The 19,614-nt window shown below is 34.0% G+C and overlaps 1 protein-coding gene across 1 annotated transcript in view; it reads left to right on the top strand.

The window, feature by feature from the left end:
• Positions 1-19,614, top strand: part of C1QTNF3 (C1q and TNF related 3) — a 226,867-nt gene that overhangs the window by 72,229 nt on the left and 135,024 nt on the right. Inside the window, exon 7 of the transcript NR_146599.1 lies at positions 3,343-3,469. The gene's annotated coding sequence lies outside the window, so the exon portion shown is untranslated. The remainder of the gene's footprint in view (positions 1-3,342; positions 3,470-19,614) is intronic.

The raw sequence follows: 19,614 nt of genomic DNA, 5'->3' as shown, positions 1-19,614 counted from the left end.
GGATTTTGAGAACTTCAGAATAAAGAAAGCATGTTTAGTTCCCCCCGCCCCCCCCGCCCAACCCCGGGTACATGGCTGTTTTCCCTGGTTTCAGTTAACCAGCATTCAACTAAGGTCTAAAAATAGGTGAGTGTATAACAACAAGATATTTTGAGAGAGAGTAAGAGACCACATTCATCTACTTTTATTACAGTACATTATAAATGTTCTATTTTATCATTTTTATTGTTGTTAGTTTCTTACTATGCCTAATTTATAAATTAAACTTTACCATAGCTATGTATGTATAGAAAAAAAATACATAGTACAGTATGTATAGGATTTGAACTACCTACAGTTTCAGGCAACCACTGGGGGTCTTGGAATGTATCCTCTATGGATAAGAGGGATTACTCTATTTCCTAAGTTTCATAATGGCATTCTTTTGGAATAGATTAAATGTCATGCATGGGCTTTGAGCTTATTAATTTTATTATAACATTTGACAACATCTCATGAAATTCTGATGCACACATAGAAAATATCAAACCAGATGGAAGTATTATGTGCTGTATACTTGGTTGAATAAATATACCCACAATGATTAATCAATGGGTACATTTATGGGTAGTTTGAAAGGAAAAATAATATACTTCTGGGTTCTATTACTGGCACTATTGTGAATACAAATGTTATCAATCATGTAACTATTAGGCTGCTCACAAATACTTTAGTTTTTCTCATACTATACAAATAATAAGATGGCAGTATTTCATCCTGCTTGAAGGTAAATGAAACCACTTTACTTGTTTTGACCAATGTCATTTGAATAGAAGGAATTTTTACAAGGCCTTCCCATGGTCCCTTATGAGCTGTATTAGCATGAGTGGTGACAGAGTTTTTATCAGCTGTCTTCCTAAATGACTGTCTCCTTGTAAACTTATTATAGAGACTGAATTGGTTTTAGATGTGAAAGTTATTTATTACTGCAGTATAGTATAGGTCATCTTAACTGATACACATAACAAAATGGAATGTTTGGTTTAGAAATATACAAATGTCCCTACCAGGGGAAATTAGACATTTCACTTAATTATAAAACTAGTATTTAATTTCAGGAATTCAGAATTTATAGTATATAATATATTTATGTATATATATTATACTGTAGATATATTCACAACGTTAATTTTTGATTAATAACTTACAGAAAGCTCTGCACTTGAGATTTATAAACTTGCTGAAAAAAATTCAGTAAGAAAACTCTATTTTAGTATATGCTTAATGAAAATATCTCGGTGGAAACCCTGAACTCTAAAACTACCCTGTGGTATTCAGAATGAGTCAAGCAAAGCCCATAATAAATGACTTTATAGGTAGCTTTTGGATACAGCTCTAGGTTTAAAATTTGAGAATAAGGTTGGCAGATTCTATTCTTTACAAAGGAAGGGCTGTCACAGCAGTGTGTGCCTGGAACCCATTTTAAATAAAGGAAAAATTGAAGAGCTGGCATTTTAACCATCATATGTCTAATACATAATGATGCTTCATAAGTTATTGAGACCTCCCTCAATCTCTGGGATAGTTGGAGCAATGGCTGAATATAAACTATCAGAAAAATTGAATCTGTAATTCTGTCAATAAGTGAGAAAATATTCTAAGATTCTTTAAATTTTAATTCTGGGTTTTTGAACACATTGATGTGTAAAATATAACAAAATAAGGTGGACACTGTTTAACTGCAGTTGGTATCAATTCTTGTGTACTGAATTTAAGGAGAGAGATGTTATCACCGTAGGAAATTATACCAACTAATGACTGCATACCATTAATATATTTTCTGAAGTTTGAATTTTCAGTTAATGCACTTTCAGTGATATTAAAGAGCACTTTATTAACAGCTATTTGAAGGGTAATTTATATACAGAGAACTGCACATATTTAACTTGTATACTTTAATGAGTTTAAACATATGCAAACACCCCCGATACTGTCACCACACTCACTTGGATATGATTCACATAAACATATCCAAGACGCCCCGAAATTTATTTTAAACCCCTTATGTGTGTATGTGTGTGGTGAGAAGACTGAATTTGAGACCCAGCCTCAACAAATTTTGACATGCACAATATAGTATAAACTATTGGCACTATATTGAACAGCCCCTCTCTAAAATGTATTTATCTTGCACAACAAAGTTCATATTCCTTGAAAAACTTCCCATTACCCCACAACAGAGCCTTTGGAAACCACTGTGGTCTTCTCTGCCTCTGTGAGTTTGACTATTACAGATACCTCGTATAAGTGGAATTCTGTAGTATTTGTCCTCTTGTGACTGGCTTATTTCACTTAGCATAAGATCCCTTAGGTTCATCAATATTGTCACCAATGGCAGGATTTTCTTCTTAAGACTGAAAAATATTCTATTGTGTGTATATACCTCAATTTCTTTATCCATTCATCTGCCAATGGGCATAGACATGGGTCATTTCCATATATTGGCTATTGTGAAAAATGATGCTATAAATGTGAGAGTGCTGATATCTCTACAAGATCCTGATTTTAATTGTTTTGGATATGTATCTAGAAATAAGAGTGCTGGATCGCGTGGTAATTCTATTATTTTTAGCTTTTGGAGGAACCGCCATACTGTTTTCTTAGTTGCTGTATCATTGTACATTCTCAATGTACAGTGTACAGGGATTCCAAGTTCCCTACATCCTCACCATTTATCTTTTGGTTTTTTGAAAATCAACATCCTAACAAGAGTGAGGTAATATCATTTTGATATTACTATTTGCAATGACTTTTTGAATATGACATCAAAAGCACAGGAAACAGAAACAAAAAATAGGCAAGTTGGACTATATCAAACTAAAAACAAACAAGAAAAACAAAAACCAAGCAAACTTCTACACAGCTAAGGATACAATCAACAGAACGAAAAGGCAATCTATAAAATGAGAGAAAATATTTGCAATCCATATATCTGATAATGGATTAATTTTCAAAATATATAAGAAATTCCTACAATTTAATAGCAAAACATGCATAATCTGATTAAAAAATGGGCAAAGGATTTGAACAGACATTTCTTCAAAGAAGATATACAAATGGCCAACAGATACATTAAAAAATATGCTCAACATCTTTAATTATCAGGGACATGCAGATTAGTAGAACTTTCAAGTAAATAAATAAATAACTCTACTTCACAGACTAACCTATAAAATGCTGAATTTTGTTATGTAAAATGTTACAGAAATAATTTCCTCACAATTGTGTTAATTCGTTTGTGCTACTATTACAAAATATTTACTACCTGGTCATTTATAAAGAACAGAAATTGATTTTTCACAGTTCTGCAGGCTGGAAATCCAAGATGAAGTCACCTGTAGTTCAGTGTCTGCGTCTAAGAGAGTACTTTGTTGCTGCACCCGCCAGAGGGAAGAAATACTGTATCTTCTCATGAAGGAAGGAACCGAAGGTGGGAATAGGGACCAAACTCCCTCTTTCAAGCCTTTTTGTAGTGACATTAATTCATTTATGAGGATGCCACCATCATGACATAATCATTTCCCAAAGGATTTCACCTCCTCCCACTGTTGCATTGGGGATTAATTTTCCAACACATGAATTTTGAGGGACACATTCAAACCATAGCAACTGGTATATAGTAACTAGGTGGCCCGATGGTCTTCATAATAAAGTTATATTTTACTTTAGTATAAAATAAAAGGTCAAGGCTTGTAACTGTGATGAGACTGCTTCATGTATATCTCCCCTAGTGACTATCACAGTTGACTGACAGCTCCAGGGGTTCATCTTTGTATCCATCACTACCTATAGTCCAAAATCCCCATCTCACAGCTGTTGTCAGCCAATGACAAAGCATAGTGAGGTGCTGTTCCTGCTCAATATGGAGGAAAACTTTGGCTTGATAACTCTCCATTGGCCTGCCAAAATATGTTAAGTATTGTGCTACTATCTGAAACTCATTTTACCTAACCTTTTTTATTTTCTTTCCTCCTTCATAAGGTTTACAAGTATTGTGGCTGAAGGCTGTGTCTATTCCTGCTTCCTCCACCTCACCTTGCAAAAGTGTTTATCCAAATAAATCCCTCACACATCTAATCCCATTTTGGCAAATTCAGTTTCAGAACTTTGCCTTCACTACTAGTCTCAAGGAAAATATATTAATACACACACACACACACACACACACACACGCATGCACACACACACATATGTATATATTTCCCAATCTATTATAGGTAAAATATACTCTTATCACGAATAAATCCAAATTGTGAATGCTTAAAATATACTTTACAGAATATTAAAATTTAAAAGCATCACAGGAAAAATATTAATACTGTTTACAGAATTTCAATATGTGAATAATATTTACATTACAGTTTCATATGAACCTTTTACTTCTCTATTTAGTATGCCATTATGTCACTGCAGAGGTATGAAAAGGAGAGCTCTCCTAGTTGTGAAAAAAGAAACATGTTTTATTGGGAGCTAAGTGGAAGGTTGAACATGTGGGAATATCTGGGCATGCACTGAAGACACCTTTTGCATCTCCCCCATCCACATAGCAAAGTGAATGTGGTTTGTGTCCATTTATGCAGGATACTCTGGAAAACCAAACTGAAACAAGGTTAACATACATTTTTAAAAGAAAACTAAAGGAAAACAACACATACTTTATTACCTATCAAAGTAACCACTTCATTATATTTTAGTGGAAGCTATTATTTATTATCGAATTATTTGCTTTGGCAGGAGGATACAGGGTTTTCCCATTTGGGTTGTATATGTTCCTCATGAGAAAAGCTGAAGACAAAATCTTACCCTTCTGCCCAAAGTCAATTGAATCAACATGTTTACCTTGCTCCACGGAGCTGCTAACCTACTGGCTGGGTGTTGTGTGGCTTGGCAATGGAGTTCTGCATGACGGGAACAATGGTTTTTAAGTGGACTAATCAGAGCTGTTAATGCATATGCAGTGAAGGCAGGAACTTTGCTACATGCAGGGCTTATCATTTTGCTAATAACAATGCCTGGCACAGATTAGCAATTTGTTGAAATAAAACATTCTGGGAGATGTAAGATAGAGAAAGAGAGCAGCATGTAGTAGAAATAGATGTCGAAAGATGAATTAAGATGATGCATTAAGCTTGAAACGTGAGGCAGAGAAAGCTGTACATAAGTTGAAGGCTTTGAGTTAAAAGACTATAGGAATTAGATGAGTGGGGGCTATGGAGAACGGAGAGAATTTAGAGTGTGGACAAGCGTTCTATGAGCAGAGACTGGGACTAGCCAAAACGTGATGATGGGCAGCTAGCTTGGAAAGAATGCTTACAACGTGAAAATTATATATTTACAAAAGGCCATTACTTCTGTTAAAGAACAATAGACCCCAGTGAAAAGAAAGGAAATTGAAAAATAGAGAAAATGTGGAGAAAACTAGAATCTCTATAGACAGCATCAATGCAGCATCAATTATGTGAACCACTTTTGAGCACAAAGAAATATTGTTTTGACCTTGGAGGCAATTTGGTCTTCATTAGGTTTAGCTGTAGGATAGTTGATGTTCATTATTCCCTATAATGCTTGTGATGGCAAAACCTTCACAAATTTATATGATCTAGGTATGTTTTCAATCCTTACAACCCAAGTAACCGATCATAACTCTCACTATGTCATTTGAAAAAAAAAATGATCATCAGAAGTGTAATTCAATTAGCAAGTATCAGTAGTGGAGTATAAATTATTGGTTAATACTAAGCATGATGGAAAAATCATAGTAGATGGAAATATGGGAATCTTTATTTTGGATGAATAAACTTTATGCCTAAAACATATGTTTATAAAAAATACTTTGTGAATAAACCCATTGTCTAATATTTAAAAGAGTTGAAGTATGCTATTATAAGACCTTCCTTAATTGATGAAATGATGCAAAGCCAATAATATTGCTCCACTTCCTGAAGTATAGAGATGAACAGAAACCTTTTTCTTTATTCCATGTTCTATATAAGTCGAGAACTAGAGCTCAAGATTAAGTTTTTTGTTTTTTGTTTTTTTTTCCATTTCCCTGGGAACAGAGCAACAGTCTCTCTGGGTCTAAAACATCCTTTTTTCGGTACATCCCACAGCATCCTATAGAAATATGTTGCAATCAGTTGCCAAGTCACGTCCTAGCTTAATGTCAGCAATTTTCTTTCTGAACCAATTTTGCACTCAGCATTAAGAGGAAATATTGAAGGGAGACATACCTTTTATGTTTGTAAAATTTATACTTCTTAAGATAAAAAGGCAACTATATCCATTGTCGTGAGATCTTGAGAAGAAATAAGAAAATGAAATATTATAGAAAATATTATATTATTTAATTGTCCTGTTCTAAAACACTTTCTAAGCCTGCCTGTTTTTTTGCCAAATTAAATCAATATTTGGATGTAGACAGCTTTTCAGAGTGGCAGTATCATAGTCAATGAAGATGACCTGAGGCACAATTATTGCTAATTGGACATAGAAACCACCTTCACTCATATATAAAAATTATTATGTGCTATACTAGATATTTCAGGAGAATTGATAAAAGAAAGACTGTTGTATTCATATGCTTGTCTTCCTGGCTAGAGGATCTGTTTTAATTAATCAGCTCATGGAGTTTGGAAAATATTTATAGTATACATAGCTGAGTGTTCATGTAAATTTTGAATACATTCATACAACTTTTTTTTTAAAAAAAGATTGAACTTCAAAACCATTTTCTTACATACTCAGTAGAAGTTGTTATAAGCCAACATTTTTTGTGAGCTATACTATTTTAAACATCTAAAGTAAATTATTTGACATATAAAAAGACTTCTTCATTTAAAAATATATCTTTTAAAAATAATTTTACAAGTGATGGCATCTCATTTTAGAAGAAGAGGCATCAATGACAGCAGTTACAGTAACTCGATGCTGAATATGTTTTTAAATACCAGATGCTGTGTTCAGCATTGTACATACATTATCAAATTTTATTCTGATAATATGCTGCATGATGTATTAGGCTGGGTTCTCTCAGACAGAACCTACACGTATACATATATATATACACACATGCATATACCTACACATACAGAGAGAGAGAGAGAGATGTACATTTATTATAGGAATTGGATCATGCGATTATGCGGGCCGAGAAGTTCCAGGATAGGTTGTCTGCAAGCTGGAGAACCAGGGAAGAGAGTAGAGTAGCTTTCTCCAAGTCCTGAAGCTTCAGAACTAGGGAAACTGATGGTATAACTCTCAGTCAGAGGCCAAAGGCCTGAGAACTCAGACAGCCACTTTGCAACTCCTGGAATCCCAAGGCCAGACAGCCTGGAGTTTGGATGTCCAAAAGCACCAGAAGGAGGGTGTCTTAGGTCCAGGAGAGAGCGAGCTTTCCTATGCATTTTTGTTTTATCCATACCCCTGACCAATTGGATGGTGCCCACCCGCATTGAGGGTGGGTGTCCCTCTATTAAATATTTTAACTATAATTTTAACTGTGATATAGGCACTGAATTCTTGTTGCTAATAATCTGGTAAGATCCATCTGAACTATGAAGTGAGTACCTGGAGGAACTCCTACATTTTAGGCTTTCAAAGGTTACAGGCTTTTCGTGTGTGTGTGTGTGTGTGTGTGTGTTTTGAGAAAAATGGAATTGAAACACTGTGATTAGAATGTTTACTTATATAGAATTTATGAATGAATGTATATAATAATTACTGTATATAATTTTAAAATATAATAAAGTCTCTTTATCCATGTGGTGTTAGTCTGTCTCTTCCATTTTGTTTTTCTTCCCTTCTTGAGCACTCCTTGCTTTTTTACCCATGGCCATTGTTCGATAATGAACATATTTGTAGCTTCTCATTTTAAGTCCCTTTCGACACTTTCAGAGACTTTATCCTGCAAATTTGGAAAGGTTTTTCTTTTCCATAATATAATTTTCCAAATGTTGGCTACTTGTTTAATTTTTTAAACATGCAATTGTTTTGCTTGTTTGCTTCACCTGGCAGCTCTCTCTAAAACCTGAGTCACTATTCCTTTTGAACTCTGCTAAAAACATTATCATCTTCTCCAGGAGCTGAGGTGAAAGATGATGTTTTATTCTACTGCTTTAGTAGGAAGAGCCACATTATTGTCTAATTCGAGTGCAAAATATCTCGTACCATTGATCATTTTTCTGGCAATAGACATCACAGTCTGCTTCCTAACCATTTCATCTCAGGCATTGTGCTGATTACCCCTTCAGGACTCTGGAGTCCACCGTTTTGCTGTAATTTCTTTAACCACCTGCCAACTCACTAAGGGCATTTGCTTAGTGTTTAATGTTCGCCTCCCAAATCAGTCTTTTTAATTGAATAGGCTATTTTTTTCACATTTCATATTCAAGCTTAACTTCCCTTTTGTAATATAGGCAGATGTTAAGATCACGTCAGCACTGCTGTGCAAAGGTTTATGGTAGATATTATTTTATATCTTTGTTCCACTGTCTGTCCTAAAATAAAAATCAATTGGTTTTTTGTTTGTTTTCTTGTTTTTAACATATCAACACAAACCAAAGTATTCTGTATGCTCCATTGATACCATCTCATTGTTGTTTGGATAGGCAAGATAAACATGTCTTAAGTTTTTAAAGGTTACAGAAGGGTTGAAAATGATGGAATCCAATCACTGATTCAAAATGTGTGTTTACTAGGTAGTATTTAAGAATGAATGCATATAATAATTATTGTTATTTTTAATTTGAAAATATAATAGGGACCTTTTATCAATGTGGTGAGAGTCTTTCTATGTCCAGTCTGGTTTTTTGCCCTTCTAGAGCACTCCTTTTTACCCATAGCCTTTGGATGATAATCAACAACATATATGTTGCTTCTCATTTTAAGCACTTTTCAATACTTGCAGAAACTTTAGTATATCATGGACATATATGAAATTGTGAGGACTTTGTTATTGAGATTTTTAATTAAAATAATCAATCATAATAAAATACATTTTATAGTAAAATATTAAAATACAAATATAATAATAAGGCAAAACTATAGTAGCATCTTTCTCTAGATTGCAGTTTAAAGAAACATTGACTTCCTAATGTTGGAATCAATCTTTTTAAAAAGTTTATATTTTAGGTTTGCGGGTACATGCGAAGGTTTGTTATATAGATAAACACATGTCATGGGGGGGTTGTTGTACATAACATCACCCAGAAATTAAGCTCAGAATCTTTTTCTTTCATTTTTAGCTATATTATTTCCCTTATGTTGGACCATAAATCTAAAATTGTAATTAAATGTCCATCCTCCAAAAATGGATATGCAAGCGTGTACATGTCTTTAAAGGTAAGACACAGAAGCTGCCAATGTAATTTGTACAGAAGTTATATTTTTTATCCGTGTGTGCACATACAAGGTGGAATGCCCATTGTATGAGGAACATTCTGTACATTGATTATGTGTAATTGAATGCAAGAACTTATACAGAGGTACATTAAGATGAAGAAACATGTTTATCTTGTTCTCTCTTCTCTGTAGCATTGAAATTTCAGCTGCAAAGAAAAGGGTAGGCAAGTCAGGGCAATGATAATTTTTCTCAATTAAAACAATTTTAAAATCCAAATGAATACTAAGGGGAGAAAGAGAGCCAACTACCCATAAGTATTTATAATTTGATTAAAATTCTGTTTTGTTGAACTCTTCACATTATTTAATAAGAGGTAGTGAGCTTAGAATAGCTTACCCTGCTCAGATAAACCATTACAAGCTTTGCAATTTACTAATCATCAATCTAAAACAAATTTCTGTAATATTTTAGCCCCTCTTCACTGATACATAAAGAGAACTTGCATATAAAAACAATAGAGGAATTCAAGATTCTATACATTTAAAATCTCAACTGTAGAAATGATTTTCTGCCATATCTAGTAATTCAGAGCTAGACAAAACCATTAATTTGATTATATACCTGCTATGGTTTGAATGTGTCCCCCAAAGTTTATGTGTTGGAAACCTAATTCTCAATGTAATGGTGTTGGGAGTTAGGGCCTAATAAGAGGTGATTAAATTATGAGAGTTCTGCCCTCATGAATGGACTAATATCATTTTCCTTGGAGTGGGTTAGTTATTATGAGAATGGTTTTGTTATAAAAACAAGTTTGGCCCATTCTTGCTAGCTTGCTTTTGCCTACTCTTGACCTTCTGCTTTCTGCCATGGGATGACAGAGAATGTAGGCACTCACCTGCCATTGCTATGCATTTGAATTTCCAGTCTCCAGAACCATGAACCATGGTTCATTATAAACTAACAAGTCTGTGAGAGTCTGTTATGAGTATAAAATGAACTAAGTCCCTAATGTGCAATATGAAAAAATGAATACAAGATTAATCTCTCAGACTACCTTTCACTATCCAGTGTAGAGAGAATCAGTCCAGGGTAAAACTAACTTTATGTAATGAAGGATAAAAGGAAGAAATCAAATTAATGAAAATTGATGCATGGATTAGAAAAAAAATCGTTAAAAAAATTAAATGGTTGTACCCAAAGGAGACACAATGCATGGTTTAAGTGGGAAACCTCACTGACCATGACATTTATTTTTAATTAGCAATTCAACTAATGTATAGCATCAGTAACATTGTCAATAATTATCTCCCAAGCTTTGTCATTGTATATAATTTATAGAACTCTCCATATATGTTGTTTTTTCATACATTTACAATATTTTTAAAATTTAAACCAGTAGTCTAATGTAATAAGAACTATTTCACTATGAAAGATAAAGAGTGTAATAATTCCTGTCAAAAGTCCAATGGACATTGTCTAGGTAAGCAGAATCCAGATAGTTCACCTGAAAAATAGTAAAATGTCCAAACAGCTTCATAAATAAATAGACTATGTTTAATCTTAAAAAACTGCTAATATACATATTTGATATTAAGAATTTTAAAATTAATTTCACTGGAGTTTGAGACTCTTAATTTAGAGAAAAATGTAACATTTTATATATACAGTTTTTGAATTCAATTTTTTTTAACAATTGAAAAACCATACCATGCTAAGAATTTGCATTTGAACACTGAAATATTCTCTAAGTGGCCTGTTAGTGTATTAAAATTTCCTCTTAAACCTTTTTATTTTTATGTTTTTTTAAAGCTCCTAGTGGAAGGTTTGGCTACATAAACTGTATTTCATAAAGTTCGGCTCTGAAGCATAATGCCAATTGCACAGTTGCCCACATTGAGCTATGAATGGGCAGCGTTTGTAACCATGGATATGGTGAACTTAATGCGAGAGCCATATTCATCTGAGGCTTGCAAGGGTTGGACAGTGCCCTACCTAGATATTCTTTACTGGGTCAGTGAGCGATCTCCAGCTGCCAAGTGATGTCAGCTCACTCCAGAGAATTGGCCTTGTCTGACAGAAGTATGCCCAATAAAATGTATGCATATGAATCACTGTCTTAAACTCTACTTCTAGAAAATCCAAACTATGAGACTCTTATTAAGAAAAATAAGCAGTATTTTTCTGAAATTCTTATTCTTTCTTTTTTTTCCCAATATAAAAGGTTTTTTTTTTCTTTTGCTAGTATTGCAGATTTTGTTTCACATAGCATTCTTTCTCTCTCTCTTTCGCTCCCTCTCTCTTAGTCTCTCTGTCAGCGGTCAGGGATTATTATCAGTCTGTCATGGGTCAGGGATTATTTGATTTAACCTTCACAGTGCTTTTAGCAGATAGGGAGCATTATCATAACTGGTTTTATTTTGACAACAGTTGGAGTAGCTGTAAATTGGATAATATAAATATTGGCCAAGGTCACACATTTAGTAAGTGGTGGAGTTGAGATTGCAATCTGGTCTGTCTGACTCTAGAGTAACGGAACTCTTAACTGCTACGCCACACTGCGTCCCCTTATAATTTAGGGAGCCCAGTGTTGGTGAACGGTAGGACCTATCACCAGCTCCCTCGTAGTCCAATTAGATGCTGATCAAACATCCTTTTCAAATATTCAGGCACAGAGAATTGGGCAAATTATAATTATATATGTAGAGAGAATGTATATGAATATGCTTTACACGTCCATATAATTTAAAGAAATTCATCCAGGTATGTTCATTTGGGGCAATATCCTTTTGAGGCCTTGTGGAAATAAACTAATGATTTCAAACAGAAAGCAAAAGAAAAACGGGATGGTAGGAGTTCTGTTAGACAGGTGTTCTGTCCTTCGCCTACCTACTAACTTAATGCAACTTTGCAAATCTATAGTAGGTTTTCTTTAGGACTACACTGCCCTGGTCCTTTGTTTATGTTTTTCTCTCATCCATTGTGGATTGTAATGCCCTCAGTACTGAATAATAAACACAAGTCTGATGGTAGGGGCTACCTAATGAACTCTATACCCTATATCTGCATTTGTATATTTTTTCTCAATTTATGTTAGCTTCTTTGGTCTAAAGGTAGGAACTTAAACTTCCTAATATTTATTTTCACTTGCGTTAATGATCTTTTGTTTAGAATTATTTATGTACTCATAATATTGCTCCTTAATGTATTCTTAAATGTGTTACTTGGAATCTTTCTCACAGAACTTTGGCATGTTTCTATGTTTATACTTCCGGTTTTTTTTTTTAATGCTTTAATTATCTAAATTTTTAGTATCTGAATTATTTACTTTTGTATATATCTTTTATTCTTATCAATGTTTACCTGGAGTAGTACAGGGACAAATTCCAATATTCTTACTTATCACAGCATATTACTTGGCAAGTCCTCAGATTTATCAGTATTATATTTGAAGATAAAGAACTATCTAATAAAATAGAATAAAGACATTCAAAAGTTAAATTTTAAAAATTTCATCAGTGGATTTTAATTGGGAAATATGCATGTTTCAATAAACACTATAAATTGTTTCTGGAACCTGTGCATCTTTCTTTTGCCAAATTGCATTTGGAACATTTTTACAGAATTAATTGTACAACCTTGTTAATGAGTATTCTTTTTTGCAGCTCGTCATAATTTTTAGAGGTCATTATGATTTTGTCACGTTATTTTAATCACTTATTTGCATATTATTTGTATAATTTGGTAAAAAAGAGACATTAAAATAAATAATGAGGAGATGAAAATTAGTTTCTTGGAAAAAACATCTCTCATTCCTCTGGAATGAGTTGCATGTCTTTGTTCAAGTTTGTTTGCTATTATTGTATGTTTTTTAAATCGTGATTAATGCATAGTAAACAACATTATAGGTTTATGAATTTCAAATACACAGAGTTTTTTTCTGAAATAAATATGATCAGATAGTAGACATTGATGTGATAAATTTAAACTGAAATATATAGTTATTTAAAATCAAACCTACAAAAATTCTAAAGAGATACAGAAGGCACTGACTTATTTGGTGTTTTTAAGAACAAATGTGAAAATGCGACTGATAAAATTATTATTTATACACTATGTATGTGTTACATACGTATGTTTATAAATATATATATATGATTGTTTGTGTGTGTAAGTATATTTCTCCTAAATCCCTCACTTCAGTCTTATTTCTTCTATAATCTAGTGTCAAGAGGTGAACATTCGTAATATATCCATGGTTGTAACCAAAATCTCTGATTGTAATTAATCCATATATTATTTCTTTGTTTTTTAGTAGATTAACAGAAAAAATATTCAAATAAATTAGATTATTCCCTAAATGGGTCAGAATCATTTATATAGAAGGTCTTATGAAAAATATTTAGGAAATTCAGGTTTGGAATTTCTGCATTCTATGAATTTCCACATATGAAATCAGATAATGGTCATCTCAAAATAAATTATTTTAAGAGAAATTAAATTGGCTCTAGGAAACTACATAATTATTATATGAAAAGATGTAAATTTATGCATAAATGACCACCTGGTAAGTAAAATCACTTTACAAGAAACTTAATTTTTCTGAAATATAGACACTAATTCCATATAGGCAAGGTTTGTATGTTTGTAAAAAATAAGAGAAATCACATCACGTTTGAAAATTGCCTTGGCCACCTGAAAAAGAGCAGGCTTGGCTGGGCACGATGGCTCAGACCTGTAATCCCAGCACTTTGGGAGGCCGCGGCGGGTGGATCACTTGAGGTCAGGAGCTGAAGACCAGCCCAGCCAACATGGTGAAACCCCGACTCTACTAAGAAAACAAAAATTAGCCGGGCATGGTGGCATGCACCTGTAATCCCAGCTACTCGGGAGGCTGAGGCAGGAGAATTGCTTGAACCCGGGAGGGGGAGGTTGCAGTGAGCTGAGATCACACCACTGTACTCCAGCCTGTGCGACAGAGGGAGACTCTGTCTCAAAAAAAAAAAAAAAAAAGAAAAGCAGCCTTTGCCCAGATTTAGTATGCTCTTAGATTGATTAGTTCCCATACTTTGTTTTATCTGAACAATATATGAGTAGATGGAGAGGATATTGGTGGTAAGGTCCATTCACAATCTGGATCCTGAAAGGTAATAATACATTGAAATGTAGATTTTTGAATAGCTGAGGCTTTTGAGCTGTGTATTATTTTTGTATTGCTGAAGTATTGAATTACCACAAACTTGGCAGCTTACAACGAGAAAAGTTCATCGTCTTACAGATCTATAAGTTAGGAGTCCAATATGGGTCTCACTGAACTAAAATCCCAATGTTGAAAGGGCTGCAGTGTTCCTCTTTAGAGGCTAGAAGAAATATTTTATTTCCTTGACTTTTACAGCTTCTAGAGGCTATCGACATTCCTTAACCCTTGGTCCCCATCCTGCATCAAAGCCAACAAAGTTTTATCTCTCTGATCATTCTTCTATAGTCACATCTCTCTTTCTGACCACAGCCAGGAATGATTCTCTGCTTTTAAGAACCCATGGACTATATGCCAAACAGAATAACGAGGATAATTTCATCTCAAGGTACTTAATCACATCTACAAAATCTCATTCAACATGGCAGGTAGCATATTCACATATTTTGGGGACAACAATGCAAACATCTTTGGGGGCCATCATTCAGCTTACTACAATGTGTGATTTCAGTAATAGAGCTACAGATTCATAGTAGGGTCTTTCTCAATAATGATTTTGTTCATACTGCATCTTCTAAAAGAGGAGAGTCATAAAACTTGATTATTTAATCATGATTAGGAAAGTTTGGTATATAACACAGTAGCCATATTTTATACAGTTGTGGCTACTGTGAAATAGGAAGCTCAGCAGCAGCCATTGGGAGTGTGCATGTCTTGGCCGTGAGTAATCTGAGTAAATTCTACAAGTATGTTTCAGTAATTGAAAACAGAAGACATTCATATGAAATTTGCCGAAAGTCCTATTCCCAGCGATTAAGTAATTATCTGTTATAAATCAAAATTACTCCAATAGTCATAAAAATTATATATTGATATGGCTAAACTCTAAAGTTTTGATTTGAATAATGCTAACCAATTGTAGCAAAAAGAGGTTTGGAGAGGAAATCAACAACTGTAACATAATTTCACCATTACCACTTTCTGAAATTGTGACTAGGAACAAGTAATTTAGCAATTCTATTTCAGAGTTTACTCACAGAATGAGTTTCCTAGGCCAGACATGACTATCTCATTCAAACAATTAGAAAAAAGTGATATAAAAAGTGACTAAGACCACGTATATATTCCATATTTTTTCTCATCTTCAATTTCTTCCACAATGAGTTTTATTAAATGTTTTGCTTTTGTTTGGGTTTATTTGGGTCAATAATTTCCCCCCACAACATATAATATCTAGTAACATCTATGTGTGAAGACATATGTCTTAAATGTATATTAGTAGTTAGAATTTCACAAATTCTAACTGTGCAAATAAAGTAGGGAAATGTCCATTTAGGTTTCTGTCACTCCCATAAATAGATTTATTTCTCATAATATAATTACATATTGGGAGAGTAATTAGTTAACCACATAGTATTAGACATGCTATTGCATTAACTGACCAGTTTTTCTGCATTTGAAATTACAGAGCAATTAGAAAGAATAATCACAGTATAAATACTATGATTTATTCTTCAGATTTTTTATGAAAGACTGTTATATAAGTTTTGGAAGCCGGGCGTAGTGGCTCATGCCTGTAATCCCAGCACTTTGGGAGGCCGAGGCGGGTGGATCACCTGAGGTCAGGAGCTTGAGACCAGCCTGGCTAACATGGCGAAACCCCATCTCTACTAAAATTACACAAATTACCTGGGCTTGGTGGTGGGCGCCTGTAATCCCAGCCACTGGGGAGGCAGAGGCAGGAGAATCTCTTGAACCTGGGAAGCAGAGGCCACAGTGAGCCGAGATCATGCCACTGCACTCCAGCCTGGGTGGCACAGCGAGATTCTGTTGCAAAAAATAAATAAATAATTTTTAAAAATTTGGAGAAATCAAACTCCTCATGGTGTAGTCGAGACATCACAACATGGAGATGGAGAGACATGATGACTTTGTGCGTGAATTCAAATGTCAGAGAAATTAAAAGTCTATTGCAATATCAAAAAGCAAAAAGTAAGCTAAATTAGTTTGACTTTATTATATATTTAAAAGTATTTTAGTACACAGGTTTGCTCATCCCTTCTTTTATCTCTTCTTAATGTCACTTAGGAGCCATATTTGTTAATAATGGTTTAATATATTGGCATACTGTACCATATTCATGTAAAACAACAGTCAAGATTTGTAGTTTCTTGAATAATTTGTTGATTAAATGAAAACCTACCACTTCCATATATTTAGCAAATATTTTTAGATTTTTAAAAATCTTCCTAAGAACAATTCAAAATCTCTTTGTCTCTTCCAATCAAGGCAAACTGATGTATTTCCTGCTCTGCTGACTTTTTTAAACTAACTTTTCTGCTGGAAAATTCTATCTGTCAATAGAGTTCTTAAAAGGATTTGTATTAAGCCTTCCACAGATACTCTGATATTAAAATCAGGTCTGAGTAAACAGGTACATTCTGTGTAGTTAAAATTAAATACTGCTATAAATATGCCCAGTGGGGTAATCCAATTTACTAGTCACTTCAGAGCTGATATGAAGGTCAAAAGGTACTTGGCAACATCGTTTGGAATCGGGATTACTTGTAGGTTATTTATCCTTAAGAAGTATTGTAATGTCTGTGTATAAAGTGCATTATTCCTTAGAAACTGCCTCGGTCAAATAACACAGGCTTAAGATTCTCATTTTCTGTCCCTTTATGCTGTGTACATGCAGAGTCAATCCATTGTTATTACACAGCCAATTATAGGACCAAAACATAATTTGCATTTCTTTTCTCCTTTTTAGTCATAATCTTGATGATTATAGCCAAGCTCTATTTTGTAATTTTAAAGAAATCCCCTGAATGTACTTCCACAAGCCATTTTAATTATTCTCATGATATCTGCGGTAGGTAGGTGAAAATAGTCACTAACAGCCATAAATGATAACTAAGAAGTATGTGACCATAGCAATGTGTTAGGAGACACATATTTACGGGATTTTTATTTAAATTGATTAGCATTGCTTCATGCATACACCAGTGGTTCTCAACTGTCCATCAGACTAAGCTGGCAAGATTGTTAATAGTTTAGATACTCAGGTTCATGCCCAGAGATGGTTCTCATTTTCTATCTGTCTCTATCTCTACCTGATGCCCAGAGATTGTTCATGCCCAGAGATAGTTCACTTTCTTTAAGTGTATCTCTAGCTCTCTCTCTCTTTATCATGTCCTACTTCCAGATGATACAAATTTGCAGCTAAGGCTGAGAAACGCTGATCTAGATGAGAATGTACCAAGCAGAAAGATTAAGTGAATTATTAATGCCCACAAAGTCATTTCAAATGTGTATTTATTTATTCAATTGATTTGACTGAAAACTAGTTCTCAGCATTCTAACAGATTTTCCTCTAAAGATGTAAGCCATTGGCTGACTGACTTGACTGAAAACTAGTTCTCAGCATTTTAACAGATTTTCCACTAAAGATGTAGACAGAGTTTGCATTTTGAGACAAGGACACAGGGTAACATTTAATCAATCTGATTAACAGCAAGAAATAAATGGGTATTACCCACTAGATTGTGATCCTCATTAAAAAAGGACGAATGCCTATTTTGAAAGCTTTACAAACATATTTGAATGATTGAATAAATAAATACACATTTGATTTTGTACATCCCAGATTCAGTACATTGCGATTAATTATAAGAAGAAAAAAACTCGTTATACTTTCCATTTCCAAAATATGTTCAAAAGTAAAAATATTAACAAATTTCAATTTCCGATGATTACTACTACTTCACAATAAATGCAGGAAAAATTCCATAATAATTCACAAAAACTCTATACTTAATAGGAAACAACTCTCATTGGTATTAGATAGATAGACCTTGCATTATTTATACCAAATGACATTTTTTTTTTTTATTTTGCAGGTTTAATAAAGTATAATTCAAAAATTATGTGATTAATCTATACTATCTAATTATTTGGTATGTGTATATTATGTGAAATGATAACAACAATCAAGTCAGTTAACACATCTATAATCTCACCTAGTTAGTTTGCTTTGTTTTGCTTTTGTTTTTTTTTTTTTTTTTTTTTTATACTCTAAGTTTTAGGGTACATGTGCACATTGTGCAGGTTAGTTACATATGTATACATGTGCCATGCTGGTGCGCTGCACCCACTAATGTGTCATCTAGCATTAGGTATATCTCCCAATGCTATCCCTCCCCCCTCCCCCGACCCCACCACAGTCCCCAGAGTGTGATATTCCCCTTCCTGTGTCCATGTGATCTCATTGTTCAATTCCCACCTATGAGTGAGAATATGCGGTGTTTGGTTTTTTGTTCTTGCGATAGTTTACTGAGAATGATGGTTTCCAATTTCATCCATGTCCCTACAAAGGATATGAACTCATCATTTTTTATGGCTGCATAGTATTCCATGGTGTATATGTGCCACATTTTCTTAATCCAGTCTATCATTGTTGGACATTTGGGTTGGTTCCAAGTCTTTGCTATTGTGAATAGTGCCGCAATAAACATACGTGTGCATGTGTCTTTATAGCAGCATGATTTATACTCATTTGGGTATATACCCAGTAATGGGATGGCTGGGTCAAATGGTATTTCTAGTTCTAGATCCCTGAGGAATCGCCACACTGACTTCCACAATGGTTGAACTAGTTTACAGTCCCACCAACAGTGTAAAAGTGTTCCTATTTCTCCACATCCTCTCCAGCACCTGTTGTTTCCTGACTTTTTAATGATTGCCATTCTAACTGGTGTGAGATGATATCTCATTGTGGTTTTGATTTGCATTTCTCTGATGGCCAGTGATGATGAGCATTTCTTCATGTGTTTTTTGGCTGCATAAATGTCTTCTTTTGAGAAGTGTCTGTTCATGTCCTTCGCCCACTTTTTGATGGGGTTGTTTGTTTTTTTCTTGTAAATTTGTTTGAGTTCATTGTAGATTCTGGATATTAGCCCTTTGTCAGATGAGTAGGTTGCGAAAATTTTCTCCCATGTTGTAGGTTGCCTGTTCACTCTGATGGTAGTTTCTTTTGCTGTGC

This window comes from Homo sapiens, chromosome 5 (assembly GCF_000001405.40).
Source record: "Homo sapiens chromosome 5, GRCh38.p14 Primary Assembly".
NCBI lineage: Eukaryota > Metazoa > Chordata > Mammalia > Primates > Hominidae > Homo > Homo sapiens.
This window is presented reverse-complemented; position numbering and strand designations above follow the sequence as displayed.